This window comes from Homo sapiens, chromosome 5 (genome assembly GCF_000001405.40).
Source record: "Homo sapiens chromosome 5, GRCh38.p14 Primary Assembly".
Taxonomy (NCBI): Eukaryota; Metazoa; Chordata; class Mammalia; order Primates; family Hominidae; genus Homo; species Homo sapiens.
Genome location: NC_000005.10, coordinates 141,094,512 through 141,118,426, shown reverse-complemented (window position 1 = coordinate 141,118,426; position 23,915 = coordinate 141,094,512). Strand labels below are relative to the sequence as shown.

At 40.4% G+C, this 23,915-nt stretch overlaps 2 protein-coding genes and 1 further gene across 2 annotated transcripts; all 3 read right to left on the bottom strand.

Moving 5' to 3' along the window:
• Nucleotides 1–23,915, bottom strand: part of PCDHB@ (protocadherin beta cluster) — a 197,972-nt gene that overhangs the window by 130,939 nt on the left and 43,118 nt on the right.
• Nucleotides 14,600–17,954, bottom strand: PCDHB3 (protocadherin beta 3). The gene has a single exon (NM_018937.5). The coding sequence runs from the start codon at nt 17,775–17,777 to the stop codon at nt 15,387–15,389; it is 2,391 nt and encodes a 796-aa protein (NP_061760.2). The 5' UTR covers nt 17,778–17,954; the 3' UTR covers nt 14,600–15,386.
• PCDHB2 (protocadherin beta 2) lies at nt 19,724–23,812 on the bottom strand. Its single transcript, NM_018936.4, has one exon. It carries the CDS (start codon nt 23,634–23,636, stop codon nt 21,240–21,242), a length of 2,397 nt encoding a protein of 798 aa, NP_061759.1. The 5' UTR covers nt 23,637–23,812; the 3' UTR covers nt 19,724–21,239.

Below are 23,915 nucleotides of genomic sequence, written 5' to 3'. Positions count from 1 at the left end.
AAGTGTTCATGGATTGGAAGACTTAAGATTGTTAAAATATTGGTATGCTCCAAATTGCTCTACAGATTTAGTGCAATCCCTATCAAAATTTCAGTTGGCTTTTTTGCAGAAATTGGTAAAGTGACCGTAAAATTCACATGAAAATGCGAGGTACCCAGAATACAATCTTGGGAAAAGAGGAACAAAGTTGAAAAGCCCACACTTTCTGATTGTAAAGATATATTCTAAGTTATATATCACATATTTGAGTATTTTGATATATTAAACTTATAAATGCTATTTTTATTCTAGAAAAAATTATTAGAAATTATCTTAGATTCCATCACAAATTTCTCAAGTCAAACTCTAATTATTCAAGTATCCCCTTCCTACATGTACATTTCAGTGAGTGTGACTTTAAAAATATCTTATAGGTTTAAGTTTGGAAAGTTAGCTAATGTAAAATTTACTTTGCTTTCACCACTGAGCACTATTGTTTGCTTTACAGCTATTTCATTCAAATGGTCAGCTGATGTATCTATTGTACCCATTTAATAGAACATTCCAGGAGATCATTCCTTTTATAAGAATTTCTAATAAATTCCACAAACCATTGATAGTAACCATTTATTATTGAGAGCTTAACATTTTGAAATAGTGCTATTGGAAATATGATTTAAAGAAATAATAGTCAAATTTATCTCTTTCTCTCAAAAATTAATGTTTAATTTTCCTCTATTCTCCCCTTTCAAAGTAAGAACAAAACCATCCTCAAGTCATGGTGAAGTTTTAAAAATACTCTTTCATTTTTAAAATAGACTATTCAAAATAGTATGAATTTAACATTTTTAACTTTAGGACTAGGTATATTCAAATCCCTTTTTTTTTTTTTTTTTGAGACGGAGTCTCGCTCTGTGGACCAGGCGGGAGTGCAGTGGCGCAATCTCGGCTCACTGCAAGCTCCGCCTCCCGGGTTCACGCCATTCTCCTGCCTCAGCCTCCCGAGTAGCTGGGACTACAGGCGCCCACCATCACGCCCGGCTATTTTTTTTGTATTTTTAGTAGAGACGGGGTTTCACCGTGTTAGCCAGGATGGTCTCGATCTCCTGACCTCGTGATCTGCCCACCTCGGCCTCCCAAAGTGCTGGGATTACAAGCGTGAGCCACCGCGCCCGGCCTCAAATCCCTTTTTAAATCTTTTTTTCTTGAGACAAGGTCACACAGGCCCCTGGAGTGCAGTGACACCATCATAGCTCACTGCAGCCTCGAGCTCCTGGGCTCAAGCAATCTTCATGCCTTGGCCTCCTGAGTAGCTGGGATTACAGGTGCAAGCCACCATATTCAGCTAATTAAAAAAAATTTGTAGAGATGGGGTCTTGTTATGTTGATCATCCTGGTCTTGAACTCCTGGCCTCAAGCATTCCTTCCACCTTGGCCTTCCAAAATGCTGGGATTACAGATATGAACAACTGCAACTGGCTCATTGTTTGATTTTAACATGCTGAACCAACCTTGCATTCCTGAGATAAATCCTACTTGGCCATGGTATGTAATCATTTTTATGTGATACTAGAGTCAGTTTGCTAAAATTTTGTTGAGAATGTTTGCATCTATATCCATAAGAGAAATTGGTATGTATTTTTCCCTTGTGTTATCACTGTCTGGTTTTGTCATCATGTTAATACTGGCCTCTATAGAATAGAGTTGAAAAGTGGTCCCTGCTCCTCTATTTTTTGAATGAGTATATTAAGTACTGGTGTTAATTCTTCTTTAAACATTTGGTAGAATTGACCAGTGAAGCCATCTGGTTCTGGGCTTTTCTTTGTGGAAAGTTTTTGATTACTGGTTCGATCTCTTATTACAGGTCTATTCAGGTTTTTTGTTAGGTTGGTGTAAAAGTAATTGTGTTTTTTGCCATTGAAAGTGATGGCAAAACCACAACTACTCTTGCACCAACCTAGTATTTCTCCTTAGTCAGTTTTGGCAATTACAGGTCTATTCACATTTTCTATTTCTCCTTAGTCAATTTTGGTAGTTTGTGTTTTCCATTTAATCTAGGGTTTTTTTTTTCCATTTCATCTAGGTTTTCTAATTTGTTGGCTTAAAATTGTTTATAGTATTCCCTTAAGACCTGTGAAATAGGTCATACTTTTTCCTCCTTTTTTTTAATTTTAGTAATTTGAGTCCTCTTTTTTCATCATCAGCCTAGCTAAAGCTTTGCCAATTTTATTGATCTTTTCAAAGCACCAACTTTTAGTTTATTTTCTCCATTGTTTTTCTATTCTATTTATTTCCACTCTAATAATTTCCTTTCTTCAGCTTGTATTGGTTTTAGTATGCTCTCCTTTTTCTAGCTTCTTAAGGTGGAAGTCTGGGTTACTGATTTGAGATCTTCTTAAAATATATAAGTATTTCAGCTATTATTTTCCCTCTAAGCACAACTTTTATTGTATCCCATAAGTTTTGGTATGTTGCATTTTCATTTTTATTCATTTCAGAGTATTTTTTAATGTCCTTTGTGATTTCTTCTTTGATTCATTGTTTTTTTAAATGTTTAATTTCCACATATTTGTGAATTTCCCAAATTTTCTTCTGCCACTGCTTTCTAATTTCATTTCATTGTAGCTGGAAAACATACTTTATATGATTTTAACTCTTTCAAATTCATTAAGACTTGTTTTATGGCCTAAAATATAGTCTATCCTGGAGAATGTTTCATATGCACTTGAAAATAATGTGTATTCTGCTGTTGTTAGATGGAGTGTTCTGTTAAGTACTGTTGGTTTATAACATTATTCAAGTCTTCTTTTCTCATGTTGATACTATTTCATTGTTTTATCATTTATTGAAAATTGTGGTATTAAAGTCTTCAGCTATTATTGTCAAATTGTCTAACTTTTCATTTGTGTCTCTTTTTGCTCCATTTATTTTGGGTTTCTATTATTAGGTGCATATATGTTTATGATTATTATGTTTTCCTAATGGATTGACCCTTTTACTATTATAAAATTCCCCTCCTTAACTTTTCATTTTTAGTAACTTTTGTGCTTGTTTTATAGTATATTTTGCTTGATATTAATGTAGGCATTCTAGCTCTTTTGGTTACTATCTACATAGTATATCTTTTTCCATCTTTTTACTTTCAACTTATGTGTGTCTTTGAATCTAAAGTTTCCCTTGGTAGACAGCCTAGAGTTGGATCATTTCTAAAAATCCATTCTGCCAACTTCTGCTTTTTAATTGGAGTGTGTAATTCATTCATATTTAACATAGTTGCTGATAAGGTAGATTTATATTGACAATTTGCTTTGTTTTCTATGTCTTATTATTTTATTTCCTCATTGTTCTCTTTTGTGTTAAACACATATTTTCTTGGGTACCATTTTAATTGACTTCTCAATTTTTTTTACCTTTTTTAGTTATTTTCTTGGTGGTTTCTCTGATTATTAAAGTGAACATCTTTTACCAATCTAGTTCAGATTAATATCAATTAAATTTCAATAGTATATAGAATTTTGTTTCTATATAGCTATGTTATCTCTCCCCTCCTTTGTGTTACATTGTCATACAAATTACATCTTTACAAATTATATACCTATGAACATAGATTGATTATTATTGCTTTATGCAGTGTTCTTTTCAATAAAAAATTTACAAATAAAAACACATTTATAGTTCCCTAGATATATATATATGCCTATAAGTTACTTTCCCTTTATGAGGCTTTTATTTTTTGATGTGGATTAAAGTTACTTATTGGTGTCCTTTTATTTTAGCCCAAATGACTACCTTTAATATTTCTTTGTAGAGTAGGTTTGCTACCAATGTAATCAGTCACTTATTATTTTTTGGTAATATCTTAATTTCTCTTTCATTTTTGAAAGATACTTTTGGTGGATATAGAATTATTGGTTGATAGTCCCTTTAAGACACATTCAATGCAGTGTGTAGAGGGAAATTTATAGCACTAAATGCCCACAAGAGAAAGCAGGAAAGATCTAAAATTGACACCCTAACATCACAATTAAAAGAACCAGAGAAGCAAGAGCAAACACATTCAAAAGCTAGCAGAAGGCAAGAAATAACTAAGATCAGAGCAGAATTGAAGGAAATAGAGACACAAAAAAAAACCTTAAAAAAATCAATGGATCCAGGAGCTGGTTTTTTGAAAAGATCAACAAAATTGATAGACCGCTAGAAAGACTAATAAAGAAGAAAAGAGAGAAGAATCAAATAGACGCAATAAAAAAAAGACAAAGGGGATGTCGCCACCGATCCCACAGAAATACAAACTACCATTAGAGAATACTATAAACACCTCTACGCAAATAAACTAGAAAATCTAGAAGAAATGGATAAATTCCTCGACACATACACCCTCCCAAGACTAAACCAGGAAGAAGTTGAATCTCTGAATAGACCAATAACAGGCTCTGAAATTGAGGCAATAATTAATAGCTTACCAACCAAAAAAAGTCCAGGACCAGATGGATTCACAGCCGAATTCTACCAGAGGTACAAGAAGGAGCTGGTACCATTCCTTCTGAAATTATTCCAATCAACAGAAAAAGAGGGAATCCTCCCTAACTCATTTTATGAGGCCAACATCATGCTGATACCAAAGCCTGGCAGAGATACAACAAAAAAAGAGAATTTTAGACCAATATCCCTGATAAACATCGATGCAAAAATCCTTAGTAAAATACTGGCAAACCAAATCCAGCAGCACATCAAAAAGCTTATCCACCATGATCAAGTGGGCTTCATCCCTGGGATGCAAGGCTGGTTCAACATACGCAAATCAATAAATGTAATCCAGCATATAAACAGAACCAATGACAAAAACCATACGATTATCTCAATAGATGCAGAAAAGGCTTTTGACAAAATTCAACAACCCATCGTGCTAAAAACTTTCAATAAATTAGGTATTGATGGGACGTATCTCAAAATAATAAGAGCTATCTATGACAAACCCACAGCCAATATCATACTGAATGGGCAAAAACTGGAAGCATTCCCTTTGAAAACCGGCACAAGACAGGGATGCCCTCTCTCACCACTCCTATTCAACATAGTGTTGAAGTTCTGGCCAGGGCAATCAGGCAGGAGAAGGGAATAAAGGGTATTCAATTAGGAAAAGAGGAAGTCAAATTGTCCCTGTTTGCAGATGACAAGATTGTATATCTAGAAAACCCCATCGTCTCAGCCCAAAATCTCCTTAAGCTGATAGGCAACTTCAGCAAAGTCTCAGGATACAAAATCAATGTACAAAAATCACAAGCATTCTTATACACCAATAACAGACAAACAGAAAGCCAAATCATGAGTGAACTCCCATTCACAATTGCTTCAAAGAGAATAAAATATTTAGGAATCCAACTTACAAGGGATGTGAAGGACCTCTTCAAGGAGAACTACAAACCACTGCTCAATGAAATAAAAGAGGATACAAAGAAATGGAAGAACATTCCATGCTCATGGGTAGGAAAAATCAATATCATGAAAATGGCCATACTGCCCAAGGTAATTTACAGATTCAATGCCATCCCCATCAAGCTACCAATGACTTTCTTCACAGAATTGGGAAAAACTACTTTAAAGTTCATATGGAACCAAAAAAGAGCCTGCATTGCCAAGTCAATCCTAAGCCAAAAAAACAAAGCTGGAGGCATCATGCCACCTGACTTGAAACTATACTAGAAGTCTACAGTAACCAAAACAGCATGGTACTGGTACAAAAACAGAGATACGGACCAATGGAACAGAACAGAGCCCTCAGAAATAATACCATGCATCTACAACCATCTGATCTTTGACAAACCTGACAAAAACAAGAAATGGGGAAACGATTCCCTATTTAATAAATGGTGCTGGGAAAACTGGCTAGCCATATGTAGAAAGCTGAAACTGGATCCCTTCCTTACACCTTATACAAAAATTAATTCAAGATGGATTAAAGACTTAAATGTTAGACCTAAAACCATAATAACCCTAGAAGAAAACCTAGGCAATACCATTCAGGACATAGGCATGGCCAAGGACTTCATGTCTAAAACACCAAAAGCAATGGCAACCAAAGCCAAAATTGACAAATGGGATCTAATTAAACTAAAGAGCTTCTGCACAGCAAAAGAAACTACCATCAGAGGGAACAGGCAACCTACAGAATGGGAGAAAATTTTTGCAGTCTACTCATCTGACAAAGGGCTAATATCCAGAATCTACAAAGAACTTAAACAAATTTACAAGAAAAAAAATCAAACAACCCCATCAAAAAGTGGGCAAAGGATATGAACAGACACTTCTCAAAAAAAGACATTTATGCAGCCAAAAGACACATGAAAAAATGCTAATCATCACTGGCCATCAGAGAAATGCAAATCAAAACCACAATGAGATACCATCTCACACCAGTTAGAATGGCGATCATTAAAAAGTCAGGAAACAACAGGTGCTGCAGAGGATGTGGAGAAATAGGAACACTTTTACACTGTTGGTGGGACTGTAAACTAGTTCAACCATTGTGGATGTCACTGTGGTGATTCCTCAGGGATCTAGAACTAGAAATACCATTTGACCCAGCAATCCCATTACTGGGTATATACCCAAAGGATTATAAATCATGCTGCTATGAAGACACATGCACACGTACGTTGATTGCAGCACTATTCACAATAGCAAAGACTTGGAACCAAGCCAAATGTCCAATAATGATAGACTGGATTAAGAAAATGTGGCACATATACACCATGGAATACTATGCAGCCATAAAAAATGATGAAGCTGGAAACTATCATTCTCAGCAAACTATTACAAGGACAAAAAACCAAACACCGCATGTTCTCACTCATAGGTGGGAACTGAATAATGAGAACACATGGACACAGGAAGGGGAACATCACACACCAGGGCCTGTTGTGTGGTGGGAGGGGGGAGGGATAGCATTAGGAGATATACCTAATGTTAAATGACGAGTTAATGGGTGCAGCACACCAATATGGCACATGTATACATATGTAACTAACCTGCACGTTGTGCACATGTACCCTAAACTTAAAGTATAAAAAAAAAAAGATAGTCCCTTTTAGCACTTTGAATGTGTCATCCCACTCCCCTTTGGCCTCCATTATGTCTGTAAGAAATCAGTGTCAGTCATACTGAGGATAAGATTTTTGAGGATAAGGTATGTGATGAGTTGCTTCTCTCTTGCTGTTTTTGAGGTTCTCTTCTTGTCTTTAGCTTTTGACAGTTTGATCATGATGTCAAGGCATGAATCTCTTTGACTTTATCCTGGTTGGAGTTTGCTGGGCTCCTTGAATGTGAAGGTTAATGTTTCTCATCAAATTTGAGAAATTTTCAGCCATTATTTCAGCTATTCTTTCTGTTATTCTGTCTCCTTCTTCTCCTTCTGGGACTTCAAGTATGTGTAGTTAGTAGGCTTCATGGTGTCCCACAGGTCTCTGTTCATTTTCATTTTTGAAAATCTTTTTGTTGCTAAGACTGGATAATTTCAGTTGATCTATTATTTTTTTCTTTCTTTTTTCTTTCTTTCTCTCTCTTCCTTCCTTCCTTCTTTCCTTCTTTTTCTTTCTGGGTTTTGTTTTTTTTTTTTTTTTTGAGACAGAGTCTTGCACTGTCACCCAGGCTGGAGTGCAGTGGCACAATCTTGGCTCACTGCAAGCTCAGCTTCCCGGGTTCACGCCATTCTCCTGCCTCAGCCTCCCGAGTAGCTGGGACTACAGGCGCCCACCACCACGCCCAGCTAATTTTTTTGTATTTTTAGTAGAGACGGGGTTTCACCGTGTTAGCCAGGATGGTCTCGATCTCCTGACCCTGTGATCCGCCCGTCTCGGCCTCCCAAAGTGCTGGGATTACAGCAGTGAGCCACCGCGCCCGGCCCTGTTTGTTTGTTTGTTTGTTTGTTTGTTTGAGACAGGGTCTTGCTCTGTCACCCAGACTTTTTGTACTAGACAAGCTCTAATTCAGGCAATTAAAGACAGCCTTGCAAGTGGAGTCCTCCAGGGAACCACCAAACAGATCAAATAATGACAATTCTTTGTGGTGCTGTTCTGTTTCCTCTGGTGGCTGCCAAGCTGCTAATTTTCATTGTGATTGTAAATTGTTAACTTTAAAGGCTACTAAGAAGCTAGAGAGATGGAGATGGAAATAGGCCAGTTAAAATGCCACAAAAACCACTATTTTTAACCAAGAGTCAGACCTTTTTCCCTCAATAAATTTTCCCTAAGTTGCTGTACATCTTTGTTTAAATTTCAGAGTTCTGAAGCAGTAGATTTTGAAAATTTTTCTCATTTTCCTCAGTGCTTTCCTGGAGAAGAGATTTTTCAGAGGTCCATTCTCTACCATTTTCACTGATGCTCAGAATATATTCTTTTTTAAAATTGCAGTAAAATATACAATACCCTTTTTTGTAATAACAAACATAGACAATGAAACTTCAACACTGCCAGTTACCTACTTTAAATTAAATAGAATTGAAACATTTGGGATGAAGAAATTCATTTCCTCAGAGATAAATTTAAACAAAAAACCTCAGAAAGATACAATTTAGAGAATACAATTTTTAAAAAATAAATCTCACATTGTTCTAGAAATTAAATTTCTTTTAAAAGTCTTTCCTCATAGATAGCTCACATTAATTAGAGACAATTGGCTTCAGAAATTTGATATTTGTTTCTGATATTCCAGAAACTTCTCACACTGAAAGCTCTAGAACTAAATCCCAGTGGTGTTGATACTCCCAAAATGCTCAGGAAGAGTCTTTCTTTTGAGCAGCAATGCACTGAAGTTTCCCAGTTGACCCTCCACATCTGAGTAGCACAGGAACAGAGAGAATTGAAAGAGAAAGAAGACTGAGTCAAATCAGTGATCAAGAAAATGGAAATCCTTTTATGGGTGGTTAAAGGAATGGAAGAGAAGACTGGGGTAAGTCCTAGACCAGGTGTAGGATGATCATGGCAAATAAAGGTGGCTTCCACTTGTCCTTAATAACAGCACCAGCTTATGCCTGGTTGTGGTTGTCTTTTAGAAGCCTAGATGTGCTTCACATACTCTGTACTTCCAGGCTGTGGGCCCACATGCTAACATCCAGGGCTCTGAGGCCTCGAATCACCAATAAAATAGTCATGAGTTCTAGCCCAAGTCATCACTGGGTTACCACTTTTTTTCTACCTGGACAGCTCAGTACACAATATAGAATTGCTTTATAATAAATTTTCTTTGTTATCTAGCTATTATAGCTGTGTGTCATCCAGGATCTGCACATCTTGATGCTCAACTCCAGAAAGCTCCAGACACATTTAGAACTCAAACTCTTCAAGAATCTCAAAAACCAGGGACATCAAAGCACACAGGTTCCATTGTCCATGCAGATGGATACCAAGAGAGGGCTGAGGAATACGTCTTTGGGCAGCTGTGGGAAAGTGACTTAGGTATTAGTCCCTAGATAGTCTCTGTTTTTGGCAGTGATACTATCATCATTCTGAGTAGGACTTTCTTTTTATTGTGAATTAATAAGGTACATGAGGTTTGGGTCAGGGAATTGTTGACAGTGTTGAAGAACAGTGTGATTATGTTGTGCTATATTTCTGCATGTTAGATTCCACCCTAGTAAGAGATGGTGCAGAGCCCTGACTTCTCTGTTACCAAAATAATTTTATTTTTTGAGATAGAGTCTGGCTGTATTACCCAGGCTACAGCATGATCATGGCTTGCTGCAGCCTCAACTTCCTGGGCTCGAGGATCCTCCCACCTCACCCTTTTCAGTAGCTAGGACCTCAGGTGCATGCCACCACACCCAGTCAATTTTTAAAATTTTTTGTAGAGACAGAGTCTCACTATGTTTCCCAGGCTGTTGTTGAACTCCTGGGCTCAAGCAATCCTCCTGTCTCGGCCTCCCTAAGTGCTGGGATTAAAGGCATGAGCCACTGTGCCCAGTCCCAGAACACTAATTTTTGACAAATGGTTTCATGAGGAGATTGTCTTGGAAGGAGCAAGCCCATTTTGCATTATCACCAGAGTCCCAAGCTATTTTCTAAAAAAAAAAATAGCAACCACTATTTCAGTGGAATCTTGGAGTATGTTATTATCTTTCTGAGCATTACCATGAATGCTGTAACTTGAATCCAGACCATGATGTTTTCCACATAGTCCCCATGTGTCAATTGCTTCAGTTACAGTTCACTTTTCCTAAAAATCAACTTATTTACTCTGAAGATTGAAACATTTTAAATTTCTCCATTAGCTTCCATGTCTATAGCCTTAGCAGAAACCGTGACAACCAAGAAGCAGTGACATTCCCTGAGATTTTTGCCTCATTGAGCAAATGCAGAACAATACCACCCAAAAGAGCATGGGTCCCAACTCAAACATATTTTTAGTGCTTGGTCCAGAACTTTTACCTGGGTGTGGCAAAGTTGAGCTAAGCTTTTTTCTTTTTTTATTTTCTTTTCTTTTTTCCTTTTTTTTTTTTTTTTTGAGACAGAGTCTCGCTCTTTCGCCCAGGCTGGAGTGCAGTGGGGCGATCTCCGCTCACTGCAAGCTCCGCCTCCTGGGTTCACGCCATTCTCCTGCCTCAGCCTCCCGAGTGGCTGGGACTACAGGCGCGTGCCACCACGCCCGGCTAATTTTTTGTATTTTTTAGTAGAGACGGGGTTTCACCATGTTAGCCAGGATGGTCTTGATCTCTTGACCTCGTGATCCACCCACCTCGGCCTCCCAAAGTGCTGGGATTACAGGCGTGAGCCACCACGCCCGGCGAGCTAAGCTTTTAAATTAAGGCTTGGGTTTGCAGAGGCCAGGGCTGAAACCACCTTGAGACCCCTCTTCTCCTTCTTCCCTTCCCCAGGATTGTCAAAACAAGTACTACTGTGAAAGAAGCTTCCAATAAGAGATAAGTTCTCAGTAAAATATCACCAAGCAAATGAAGATTGACACCATGAAAAAGAGACTCAACAAATAAAAGAATTGTTTTATCTACTATAAGAAATTGAAATTCGAAACAATATGGCAAGAACTTAAACGTAAAAGACTCAAACAACAAAGAAGGAAATAGCAATTTTGAAACAAGAACAAATAGTTGTGAAAACTTGCCAAATGAAAGTTTTCAAAAGAAAATTGTAATTTCTCAAAGAAAAAAATGCAGTACGTTATGTGAATCTCAGGTTGGGGCCTACCATATATATCAGAACAGCAAGAATAAATTTAAGAATCTAAAAGAGAGTAAAGAAGTTTACGGATAAAAGAATGAGAAGTAGACTGACATTGTACTTTTCATCAACGTGTTGAATGCCTAAAGAATGGAAGGAAAATAAGCTTAAAATTTTGAATCTATGATAAAGAAAACTATTGATTAACCATATGCATATTTGACATTAAAATAATTCATAATTAGGACTAACAGATTTCTGGCTTAAAAAATCTAACAATTACTTTAAGAAGCAAAAGACATTTCCAGAATAAAGTAGGGGGATATATAGAAAAGTTGGTACCTTTTTTAAACAGAGTCTTCTTTTGTAAGGAAGTAGAATTTATTCATCAAAGGAGATTTATGAAAAGTATGGTGGTATAGTGAGTGGCCTCACTAGTTTTAATGATTGATATTTGAATATAGCTTAGTCTTATAACAACTCCCCAAATAAAAATTTAAAATTCATTTGTATCCCTTTGATTTTCAGTGCTAAAAACTAGATTGTGAATGTCAAGGAAATATTTAAGTTATTTCTGAACTAATGTATTTGTAGAGAGAAGAAAGGAGTGTGCACGTGATCGAGAATTATGTTTTGAAAATAAATGAATGATTGGCTATTAAAAAAATTTTTAAGCCTTTGGGATCTTGCAAATTTTATTTAATCTTGATATCATTAAGACTAACCCAAGTTCAACAGAAGTACCAATTAGAGGCCAGAGAATTTAAATACCAATTTCAGAAAGTTAATTTGATGTACAAAAAAGTCTTATATTTAATTTCTTCTTTGTCCCTGAAATCAAAGATATAAATAAGCTCAATTTGGAACCAACTTGGAGATTAATACATAATTTTACAGTTCTCCAAGTTTCCACAAGTCTCAAGATGCAAAGGGAGACATTAAATAAAAAATTGCCTCTATAGGGAATTATTCTTCATACTCCACCCCTTTCTGAATACAGATAGTTCTTTTAAAATTCAATGTGTAGATCAGGTCCAAATAAACAAGTTTGTAAGTCCTTACAGCATTATTTTATTTCCCAAATAATTTAAAATTTATTTATTTAACAAATATAAACTGAGTGTCTACTATGAATGAGGCATTGTGCTATTTGCTGGAAATACCACTGTGAATAAACCAGAAACAGACTCTACCTTCAAGTTGTTTAGAGTCTAGTAAGGTCATTTTATATATTCTAGAATGAGGGAAGGGAGTAAAATTTTTCCTTCTCTTACTTTTTGATAATTGGAATACTGGTGAGATCGATTTGTAAATATTTTACAATAATGAATTAGCCTGCCTAGAAGAAAAATTACTAGAAAATTATTAATAACCCTTTTACCTTGTGCCAGGCATTTAGTTCGTGGAATTCCAAAACGTGGCAACACTAGTTAGTACTGTACATGTGGTACTCTCTCTGTTCTGTATTTAATGAAATATCCAGATGAATATGTTTTTGGAAGTTGTCTTCAAATAAAAGGGTAAAAGGTTTCTAACTGCCCTGAAAGAGAAGCAGCTTTGAACCAAGAGTAAGATGTGATTGTTTCCCACCTTCAAATTTAGTATAGATTATCTTTTCTGGCTTTGCTAAATTCTATTCATTTTCTCAACAATGTATAAGTCCAGTACATCTAAAAACTAAATTACAAATGGTATCTGTTCTTCTATCTTCAGTGTCTAAATGACTCAGCATATTGCCTTTTGAACTTTAGTCTCCGATCATATACCATATTAGTCCCCAAAAGAACTGCCCTCTATATTTTCCACAGTTGAGTACTTCCCTGGCTCTGATACCACCTGGGACTAAGGTAATCAAAGAGAGAGAAATCTTGATCAGAATTCTATGCCTTTTCCTGATATTCATGGAAAATCAGCTACGTATGCAAAGAAGAAAAATATCTGACCAAAACAGCCAGATTCAAACATCTCTATAAAGTACTTAAAGTGAAAGGAAATATTATATTAATTTTCCTCTGACTATTAAAGATTCACATATTTGGCTGGGCATGGTGGTTCATACCTGTTAATCCTAGCACTTTGGGAAGTGGAGGCAGGAGGATCCCTTGAGCACAGGAGTTCCAGACCAGCCTGGGCAACATGGGGAAACCCCATTTCTACAAATAAATTTTTTTTGTTGTTAAATAGCTGGGTGTGGTGGCACACACCTATGGTCCCAGCTACTCTGGAGGCTGAGGTGGTCAGATCCCTTGAGCCCAGGAGATTGAGACTGCAGTGAGCCATGATTGTACCACTGCACTCCAGCCTGGGCAACAGAGCAAGGCCCTGTCTCAAAAATTTTTTTTAAAAAGTATTTATGAATTTGATGCTGTTACATAAAATTACACCATTTAAATGTGATAATAACTACACTTTAACATATGTTTGAAAGCATGTCAATCTTAAACTCTTGCTTTTTGGGGAATTTTTAAAATCTTTGAGAAATTCTCTTTTCTCTAGTCATGAGTATTTAATTGCTAGAAAGTTATATGGATGTTCTGTGGGTGAAGAAATGCTTGTAAGAAGAAAATTAATTTTTTCCTAATACACTTCCCTAATTAGGAGCTAAATATTTTGTCGCTTAAAATAAGTTTTTTTATTTTACTCAAGATAACCATAAGATTCCATGTTTTGGTTGCTTCCAGATTTTATTCTTAGTTGTAGCTAATTTAGAGTTTCACAACGATATTGCCCTCTCCTTTTTAGAACTTTCTATTCTTGTACATCTTCTTTTAATTACATTGCAGGAGGTAGGATGCTGATAAGGATGGACAGTTTCTATCCCAGAAAGACCATATATAATCCTAAATCATGTCAGGTTAAAATCTGAAGGAGGGAACCAAGACAGGAAAAAAAGAAAATATCTTTCTCCTATATCATCATACAAGTGGCAAGTAGGTATTAATAATAAAATAGGACTGGGCCGGGCGCGGTGGCTCACGCCTGTAATCCCAGCACTTTGGGAGGCCGAGGCGGGCGGATCACGAGGTCAGGAGATCGAGACCATCCCGGCTAAAACGGTGAAACCCCGTCTCTACTAAAAATACAAAAAATTAGCCGGGTGTAGTGGCGGGCGCCTGTAGTCCCAGCTACTTGGGAGGCTGAGGCAGGAGAATGGCGTGAACCCGGGAGGCGGAGCTTGCAGTGAGCCGAGATCCCGCCACTGCACTCCAGCCTGGGCGACAGAGCGAGACTCCGTCTCAAAAAAAAAAAAAAAAAAAAAAAAAATAGGACTGGATAGGACACCACTTTTACCTTGAAGCATTTAGATATCATATACCCATGTATTTTCTTGAAATTAAAAATTGTCTCTCAGATTCATAACACTTACATCTCAGAATTTATGAAACAAATAGTTGTTCCACCAGATGTCTTACTAAACAACGTTTTTGTGTCAAATGGAAAAGAACAGTCAGTTTTTTAAATGGCATAGGTTTAATTTTTTTCCTCAGTCATCATGAACACACTTTAGATAAACCAAAGGGTAATTACCCATATTAGTCTATATTTGTGTCCATATTTTGGCCAATATAAGCACATAAAATATTGAAATATTAATTGCAAATGTCAACACAGAAAATGAACTAAATTACTTTCATTTGAGTACTATATCCCTAAAAAGATGATATATTACTATTTATTAAAGAAAACACATTCTTGTCTATCCTTAAAACTTTGTTAACTATAGACAAAGCTGCTTTGGGCATATTATAGAACACATTATATGAATATATTCAACAAGGGAAATTATAAAATTGGTGGTTTGGAACTCTCTCTACATTGCTTTATAATGTAAAATTTGAATGGAGTTATTTTAATAAGCTATTTGAAATCACTATTAAAAGACAGTGAATTTCTTTTTGCTCCCCATTAGAAAAAAAAAAGGCGGAATTAAGACTGCGTTGGCAAGCCAGGATGAAAGGAGAATATGCAAGGATTAACTACAGAAAAAGTAGAATCAATATATAAACAAAATGTTCTATCGACTAAGGATTCTCGATTGAAATACAAAACATTCAGAGCCACACAACTACTTTCCAGTACTGTTAATGAAACCTAAGCCATCCCTGGATTTGATATTTTGCTCTATTCTTGCTACTTGCCTTGAACCAGACCAAAAAAGACCTCTCCAATGGACAAAGCAGTAAAAAAGGACTTTCCACAGATTAACTAAGACGAGGCTCAGTAGATCCTTATTAACACTTAACTGAATTCAAAGCTCTTCCTGAAACTGGGATTTGCCTCGCTAACCCTCTCTGCACCCTGAGCAACGAAGTTGGGGATAATTGGCTTCAGGAACTTGAACTCATTTGTCCCGGAGCCTCCAGTCAGACACACCTCGTACTGGTAGCTCTGGGACAGGGTCCCGGTGCCGCTCACGTCCACCATCTGCCCTGGAAAGGGGCCCTCGGGCACCGAGCAGCGACCCACCGAGGCCGCCCTGCTCCTCCTGCACAGCCGCACCGCCACGAACAGGAGCACCGAAAAGAGGAAGAGCGAAGACACCGAGGCCAATGCCACCACCAGGTAGACGGTGAGCAAGTCGGCCTGGGCCTGGGCCGGTGCCGCCTCCGGGAGAGGCAGGTAGGGCTGGGAGAAGCCGTCCACCAGGAGCACATGCAGCGTGGCGGTGGCCGAGCGCGGAGGCTCGCCATTGTCCTTGACCAGCACCACCAGCCTGTGCTTGGCCGCGTCGCGCTCGCTCAGCAGCCTGGCGGTGCGCACTTCGCCATTGTGCGCCCACACGCCGAACAGCCCGGGCTCCGTGGCCTTGAGCAGCTGGTACGACAGCCAGGCGTTCTGGCCCGAGTCGCCGTCCACCGCCACCACCTTGGTCACCAGGTAGCCCGGCTCAGCCGCCCGGGGCACCAGCTCGGTGCAGGGCGCGGAGCCGTTCTGCAGCGGGTACAGCACGAAGGGCGAGTTGTCGTTGGCGTCCAGCACCAGCACGCGCACCAGCGCCTCGCTGCTCAAAGCCGGGGAGCCACGGTCTGTGGCGCCCACGCGGAACTCGAACGCCTGCAGGGCCTCGTAGTCCAGCGACCTGAGGGCAAACAGGTGGCCGTTGTCCGCGTTGATGGAGACCAGGGAAGAGAGGGGCAGGTGCGGGTCCTGGGGCGGCAGCAGCGAGTAGGTTACCTGGGCGTTGGTGCCTGAGTCTCTGTCTGTGGCGCTGACACTGCCGATGTGCAGGGCGGGGCTGTTGTTCTCGCGGACGAACAGGGTGTAGGAGATTTGGGTGAAGGCGGGGGCGTTGTCATTGACGTCGGAGACCAGCACGGTTATGTTGTACTTGGTTTTCAGCCTGGGTGTCCCCAGGTCAGTGATAGTGATGGTAATGTTGTACTCGGATCTGGTCTCTCTGTCCAGCGCGCCTTCTGACACTAGGGTGTAAAAATTCTCTACAGATGGTTTCAGGAAGAAGGGGAGATTGTTCTCAATGGAACACATCACTCTTCCGTTGTCTCCAGAGTCTAGATCAGAAACACTGAAAACAGCCAGTACAGTCTCTCCCGAGTTCTCAGGAATAGGGCTGTTTACTGAAGACAAGGTCAGTTCCGGTGGGTTGTCGTTGACATCAACCACCTGGACTATGACTGTAGACTTTCCGGATAGGCCTCCGCCATCCTTGGCCTCGATGTCGACTTCATAACTATTAATCGCTTCAAAATTCAAATATTTGACCAGTTGCATATCACCAGTAATTGGATTTAGCTGAAAAGTTTTGCGAATTTCTTCAGAAGCATGAAAAAATGCATATGATATTGTCCCAAAACTTCCTGTATCTAAGTCAGAAGCCGAGACAGTGACAATGACAGAGTTAACGGGGGTATTCTCTAGAACTGCAACCTCATAGAGCGGCTGTGCAAATTCTGGTGCATTGTCGTTTATATCTAAGACCTGGATGTTTATCTGGGCTGTCCCAGACCGAGGGGGAGAGCCGCCGTCCAGCGCGGTGAGCGTTAAGCTGAGTTCCGGCTGCTCCTCCGGATCGAGCGCTTTATCCAGTACTAGTTCCGGGTACTTCCTTCCGTCCCTACGACTGCGAGTGAGTACGTGGAAGTGGGAATTCGGAGTGATAGTGTAGTTTTGGAGGCTGTTTCTTCCCACATCCAAGTCCTCAGCATTTCCCAAAGGAATTACTGTTCCTGGCAGAGTGCTTTCTAGGATTTTCAGATGCATTTCATTTTCAAAGAATACCGGAGAATGGTCATTTACATCTATGATACGGAGCTCGTTTGTAACGAATTGCAAAGGGTTTTGCAGTAATATCTGAAAATGTAGTATGCATGGTTCTGTGGGGCCGCATAGCTCCTCCCGGTCCAATTTCTCATTCAGGAGCAAATCACCTGTCTGATGACTGAGCTGAAAATGCTGTTTGTTCCCTTTGGACACAACTTGGGCCCCCCTCGCGGCCAGTTCCTCTACCCTTAGTCCCAGATCCTTTGCTAGGTTGGCTATTAAAAAGCCCTTCTCTTTTTCCTCAGCCACAGAATAGCGTCTTGACTCGGACCCAGCCAGAGACCCTCCCAGAAAAACAAAGAGAAGCAAGACTTGCCTTTGTCTAAGAAATCGCTCTCCTCCCGCCTCCATTGCACTTTCCGTCACGCTCTTCCAGGGAATGTCGCCAAGCTGAACCTCAGACAGAGCTGGGAAACAGTCTTTTGCCCCACAACCTTTGTAGACGGCCTAGTGAATAAGCCTTTCCAGAGGCTCAGACTTGCTGGCTCAAAAATCTGCCTGGGCTCTCAACCGCTGGTTTACCACACTGGATCCGTGCGTCACCGAGCATGCACAATGCCTGTGGTTTAATTCGCCTTCTTAGTCAACAGCGCCACCATGCGTTCGCTTGCAGTTACAAAATCTTGGAGAAGGTGTTTTTATTTTGCTTTATCGATTATTCTTATCAACCCTAGTTGACGCTACTGGAGGAGTTTCTCATGTTATATGAATTAAATAAATGCAATCTAGGGAAATAAAATGCACTTTTATCTACGAGCAGCGATTCTTCCTGGTAGAGTCCTCATTTACACGATTTAACGGAAGTGTACACATACTAGTTTACCCCTCCCCTTTTGTAATAATTACACACAAACTTCAAAAGATTTTTGCTCTAGATGATAGCATGCTTCACTATCCTATTTATGTTTTTCTTTTTTTCCTAAACTTTGTGAAATGAGCCCGAATTGCATATACCAGAAAAACACAAGGAAAAGACACCTCCTGCAAGGTGGTAAAAAAGAAAATATATCATGTCAGAGGTGGATCCAGAGGACTACAAATACCTAATTTCTTCCAGATTATCATGCTCAAGGAACACTTAAAGTGCTTTCTCTTCTTATTTCAGAGCAAATTTACAATTATTCATTTCATCTGTATTAGTTTATTTCCACAGATAATTGTTGAGTTTGTAGAAGTTAGGCAAGTGGTGGTAACAAGACAATGTCTGTATATCTTACAACAATTTTCCATCTAGTGGGTGTACAGTCTTTAAACAGATGTTTAAACAGTGTGAAAAGTGCTACATAGAAAAGGTACTGAGTGCACTGAAAGTATGCAATACGGGGACCTAACTTAATGGAGAGTGATTAAGAAAGTTTCCCCCAAGGTGCACCATTTAATCTGAAACATGAAATAGGAGAAGTGTGCCAGGCTAAGACTGTAGAATGTGTGAAGGCCCTGAGAGAGCAAAGCATAGCTATTAATAGATAATGAATGAAGTACAGTGAATACAAAACTTAATGTCTCAAGAGTAAGTGGAAAGGAAGGCTGAAAAGGTAAACCAAGGCCAAATAATGGGCGCTTGGATTTTATTATTCTAAGAACAAAAGGAAGCCATTGCAAGGTTGTTGGTACAGAAATAAAACAGTGCAAATATGTGTTCAATGTAGCCGCTTTTGTACTTCTACACAATTATCAAGAATGTTTGCTCTTAATACTAGTGATACTAAAAATAACAGCAATTTCACTTTTATGTCTTTATATTGAGTATAACTGCAAGCTATTCAAATACCTGCTATCATTTGGGTAGAAGAAAAGAAACTTTGTGACTCATCCAAAATCCTACAGGTAATGAGTTGGTTGATCAGAGACTTTTGATACCAACACAGCGCTCTACACCATTGCTAATCTCAAAACAAGACCTTCAAAGTTAATATTAAAATTTTAATAGGATAGCTCATTCAAATGTATGTAAAAATGATATAAAAATATAAAGATAGACTGAGTAACATTAAGAATTAAGATTTGTTTTAATGTATGGATCAGAAAGTAAACTGCAAGAAATGAAAACAGTTGGGTGAGTCATTTAGGGAACTATGGAAGGAAATTTAAGTAATAAAATTAAAAGCCATCTGTATTCCTTAAGCCAGTGGACAGGAAAGGAGGCTCAATTTAAGCATTAAGAGAAAAAGTAAAAATATGTTGAAGGAAAGCGACAACAGAATGATAACTGCATGTTCAAACAATGGTAACCAATTCAATTAATAACAAAATTATAATTCATTGTACACCAAAGAGTATTTGATTCCAGCAAAATGTTTTCCTTTAAGTGTTCTAGTTTATTTAAATATCAATATATCACAGGTAAAATACTTTTCTCTCTTTCAATCATTCAAAAATTTTATTAAGAGCCTATAATATTCCAGTGACTGTGTGAATCATTCAATAAATGAGGGAGCTGTTGAGAAACAGAACTCAAGCACCTTTATAAAAAAGCATTGAAAAGTCTAGGGAAATGAAAGGGGGAAAAATAGAAGTAGTCAGTGCAAAAAAATAGAGTGAGTGGTGCTAGATAAATTTTTCTCCCTAAAGGCTTGTTTCTAAGTGAATCCTAAATGCTCCAGAAAATTTTAAAAACAGCAATACCAAGCTATGTTTGAGGGTTCTAAAGGTAAAGGACAAAGACATGTACTCCCTCAAATTTTTTGGATTTTAATGAAGTGCTCAAAGTTAATAGGTTATTAATAATTTTAAAAGATTTTAAAGGGGGGGACTGGAATAAGCAGAGGGCTCTTAAAAAAACTATTTGAAAGAGAAAGCATGATGAATTAGCATGCCTTTGAAAATTGCTAGACATGTATTATTTATCTACATTTTTGAATATTAATGATTGACTTTTGACAAAAATTTATTAGAGCACTTATGATGTTAGTGCCTTGTAGAATCCAACAGTTAAAATTCTTACAATCTCTAAAGACTAATACTTTTCATATGTCAACACTTGAAAGAAGTATACATATTGGACTGGGGGGCGGTGGCTCACGCCTGTAATCCCAGCACTTTGGGAGGCTGAGGTGGGCAGATCACCTAAGGTCAGGAGTTCAAGACCAACCTGACCAACATGGAGACACCCTGTCTCTACTAAAAATACAAAATTAGCCGGGCATAATGATGCATGCCTGTAATCCCAGCTACTTGGGAGGCTGAGGCAGGAGAATCGCTTGAACCCGGGAGGCAGAGGTTGCGGCGAGCCGAGATTGCGCCATTGCACTCCACTACAGCCTGAGCAACAAGTGCAAAACTCCATCTCAAAAAAAAAAAAAAATTACATATATTGAAAAACGTAAGGACGGTGCTTGCTATATTATTCATAAATATACCTATTTAAAGGGTTAGCCAATGTGAATTCACAGGATAGAATTTACACTAGCCTAAGAGGATATAAAAAACACAAATATTCTGGGCTGGAAAATATAACTCATGTAATGATAACAAATATTTTCAAATGTAGGACTTCAAAATTATCTAGGACCATAGACTGTGAGGTCTGGAAAAGATGCTCTAACTTAAAGATTTCTGAAAATACAAAATTTACTTTTACACTTTAAATGCAATTAAATTGCAATGAAACTAACCAACAATTAGAATACAAAGAAAATTTACATTTATTATACCGCAAAAAAACTCATACATTTATAAATACCAGTAACATGCATAGAATTGGAATAAGATGGTTACTTTCTAATAAAAGGAGACACCTCCAATGGGCAAAGCAGTAAAAAAGGACTTTCCACAAATTAAACGAGACTAGCCTCAGTAGATCCTTATTAACACTTAAGTGAATTCAAAGCTCTTCCTGAAACTGGGATTTGCCTCGCTAACCCTCTCTGCACCCTGAGCAACGAAGTTGGGGATAATTGGCTTCAGGAACTTGAACTCATTTGTCCCGGAGCCTCCAGTCAGACACACCTCGTACTGGTAGCTCTGGGACAGGGTCCCGGTGCCGCTCACGTCCACCATCTGCCCTGGAAAGGGGCCCTCGGGCACCGAGCAGCGACCCACCGAGGCCGCCCTGCTCCTCCTGCACAGCCGCACCGCCACGAACAGGAGCACCGAGAAGAGGAAGAGCGAAGACACCGAGGCCAACGCCACCACCAGGTAGACGGTGAGCAAGTCGGCCTGGGCCTGGGCCGGTGCCGCCTCCGGGAGCAGCAGGTAGGGCTGGGAGAAGCCGTCCACCAGGAGCACGTGCAGCGTGGCGGTGGCCGAGCGCGGAGGCTCGCCATTGTCCTTGACCAGCACCACCAGCCTCTGCTTGGCAGCGTCGCGCTCCCTCAGCAGCCTGGCGGTGCGCACCTCGCCATTGTGCGCCCACACGCCGAACAGCCCGGGCTCCGTGGCCTTGAGCAGCTGGTACGACAGCCAGGCGTTCTGGCCCGAGTCGCCGTCCACCGCCACCACCTTGGTCACCAGGTAGCCCGGCTCGGCCGCCCGGGGCACCAGCTCGGTGCAGGGCGCGGAGCCGTTCTGCAGCGGGTACAGCACGAAGGGCGAGTTGTCGTTGGCGTCCAGCACCAGCACGCGCACCAGCGCCTCGCTGCTCAACGCCGGGGAGCCGCGGTCTGCGGCGCCCACGCGGAACTCGAACGCCTGCAGGGCCTCGTAGTCCAGCGACTGGAGAGCGAACAGGTGGCCGTTGTCCGCGTTGATGGAGACCAGGGAGGCGAGGGGCAGGTGCGGGTCCTGGGGCGGCAGCAGCGAGTAGGTGACCTGGGCGTTGGTGCCCGAGTCTCTGTCTGTGGCGCTGACGCTGCCGATGTGCAGGGCGGGGCTGTTGTTCTCGCGGACGAACAGGGTGTAGGAGGTTTGGGTGAAGGCGGGGGCGTTGTCATTGACGTCGGAGACCAGCACGGTTATGTTGTGCTCGGTTTTCAGCCTGGGTGTCCCGAAGTCGGTGACGGTGATGGTGATGTTGTATTCGGATCTGGTCTCCCGGTCCAGGGCCGTGCTTATCACCAGAGTGTAAAAGTTCTCAACAGAAGGTTTCAAGAAAAAAGGAAGATCATCTTGGATGGAGCACACCATCCTTCCGTTGTCTCCGGAGTCAGGATCTGAAACGCTGAATACAGCAATGAGGGTGTCCTGCAAGTTTTCTGGGATCTGATTGATAAGTGTCGACATAGTTAGTTCCGGAGGATTGTCATTCAAATCCATCACTTGGACAAATACCACACAAGTTCCAGATAGGCCCCCACCATCTGTCGCCTGAATATTTACTGTGTATGTCTGGATGGATTCGAAATCCAGTTTCTGTCTTAAAAGCAGTTCTCCCGATTTTGCACTTAATCGAAACGTTTTGCGAATGTCTTCAGATGCTTGGGAAAATGCATAAGATATTTCTCCATTAGTTCCAATGTCTAAATCCCTGGCAGAGACGATGGCAACCTGGGATCCAACGGGGCTGTCCTCCGGGATCTGCACCTCATAGAGCAGCTTTGCAAACTCTGGGACGTTGTCATTGATGTCCACAACTTCAATCCGTACCAGGGCCGTGCCGGACCTGGGTGGACTCCCGCCATCTAGCGCTGTGAGGGTTAACCTGATCTCAGGCTGCTCCTCGCGATCCAGGGCTCTGTTCAGCACCAGCTGTGGTAATATTATGCCATCGAGACTGTCTTGTAAATTAAGATGAAAGTGGAAATTGGGACTGATTGTGTAATTTTGGAGACTGTTGGTTCCTACATCCAAGTCCTGGGCACGTTCTATTAAGAAAGTAGTTCCAGGAGTGATACTTTCTGGAATTTTCAAAAGTATTTCTTTGTCTAGGAAAACTGGGGAATGATCATTTACGTCCCTAATCCGTAGCTCCGCCTGAAAAAACTGCAAGGGATTTTCTAGTAACACCTGGAAAGGTAGGACACAGGGCTCTGTGGGGCCGCACAGCTCCTCCCGGTCCAATTTCTCATTTAACAACAAATCCCCGGTCTGCCTATCGAACTGCAAATGCATTTTTTTTCCTTTGGAAACGACCCTGGCCCCCCTCACAGCAAGTTCTCCTATCTCCAGCCCCAGGTCTTTTAACAAATTGGCCACAAAGGAGCCACTCTCCGTTTCCTCGGCCACTGAATAGTGCCTAGGCTGGCAACTAGCCTGAGCTATGCCCAGCAAAACAAAGAATATCAGGACTTGCCTTTGTTTCGGAACGCGCTCCTTCCCCTCTCCGGCCTCCATTGCTTTCTGGTCTCTCACCAAACGTGCTCCAGCTCTGGCTCACGTTGTCGCTAACTCTATCTCCCCGTATCTCGCTGATACTGGGATGAGTGGACAATCCTAGGGCCCGGATTTCCCGGAGCGACCGCCTTAGAAAGCCTCCTCTTCCTGCTTGCTGCTTCTTTAGCTGAGTATCTGGGTAAGGGAGCGTCGGCTGGGTGCTTTGTTTCTGCTACTTCTAAGGCTGCAGCGCCACCCCGCGTCTCTTCCGAGTATTTATTTTCTCCTAAACTTTAAGAA

Excerpts from the sequence above, each read along its gene's own strand:
- PCDHB3 (NM_018937.5), bottom strand. The coding sequence starts at position 17,777 with ATGGAGGCGGGAGGAGAGCGATTTCTTAGACAAAGGCAAGTCTTGCTT.
- PCDHB2 (NM_018936.4), bottom strand. The coding sequence starts at position 23,636 with ATGGAGGCCGGAGAGGGGAAGGAGCGCGTTCCGAAACAAAGGCAAGTC.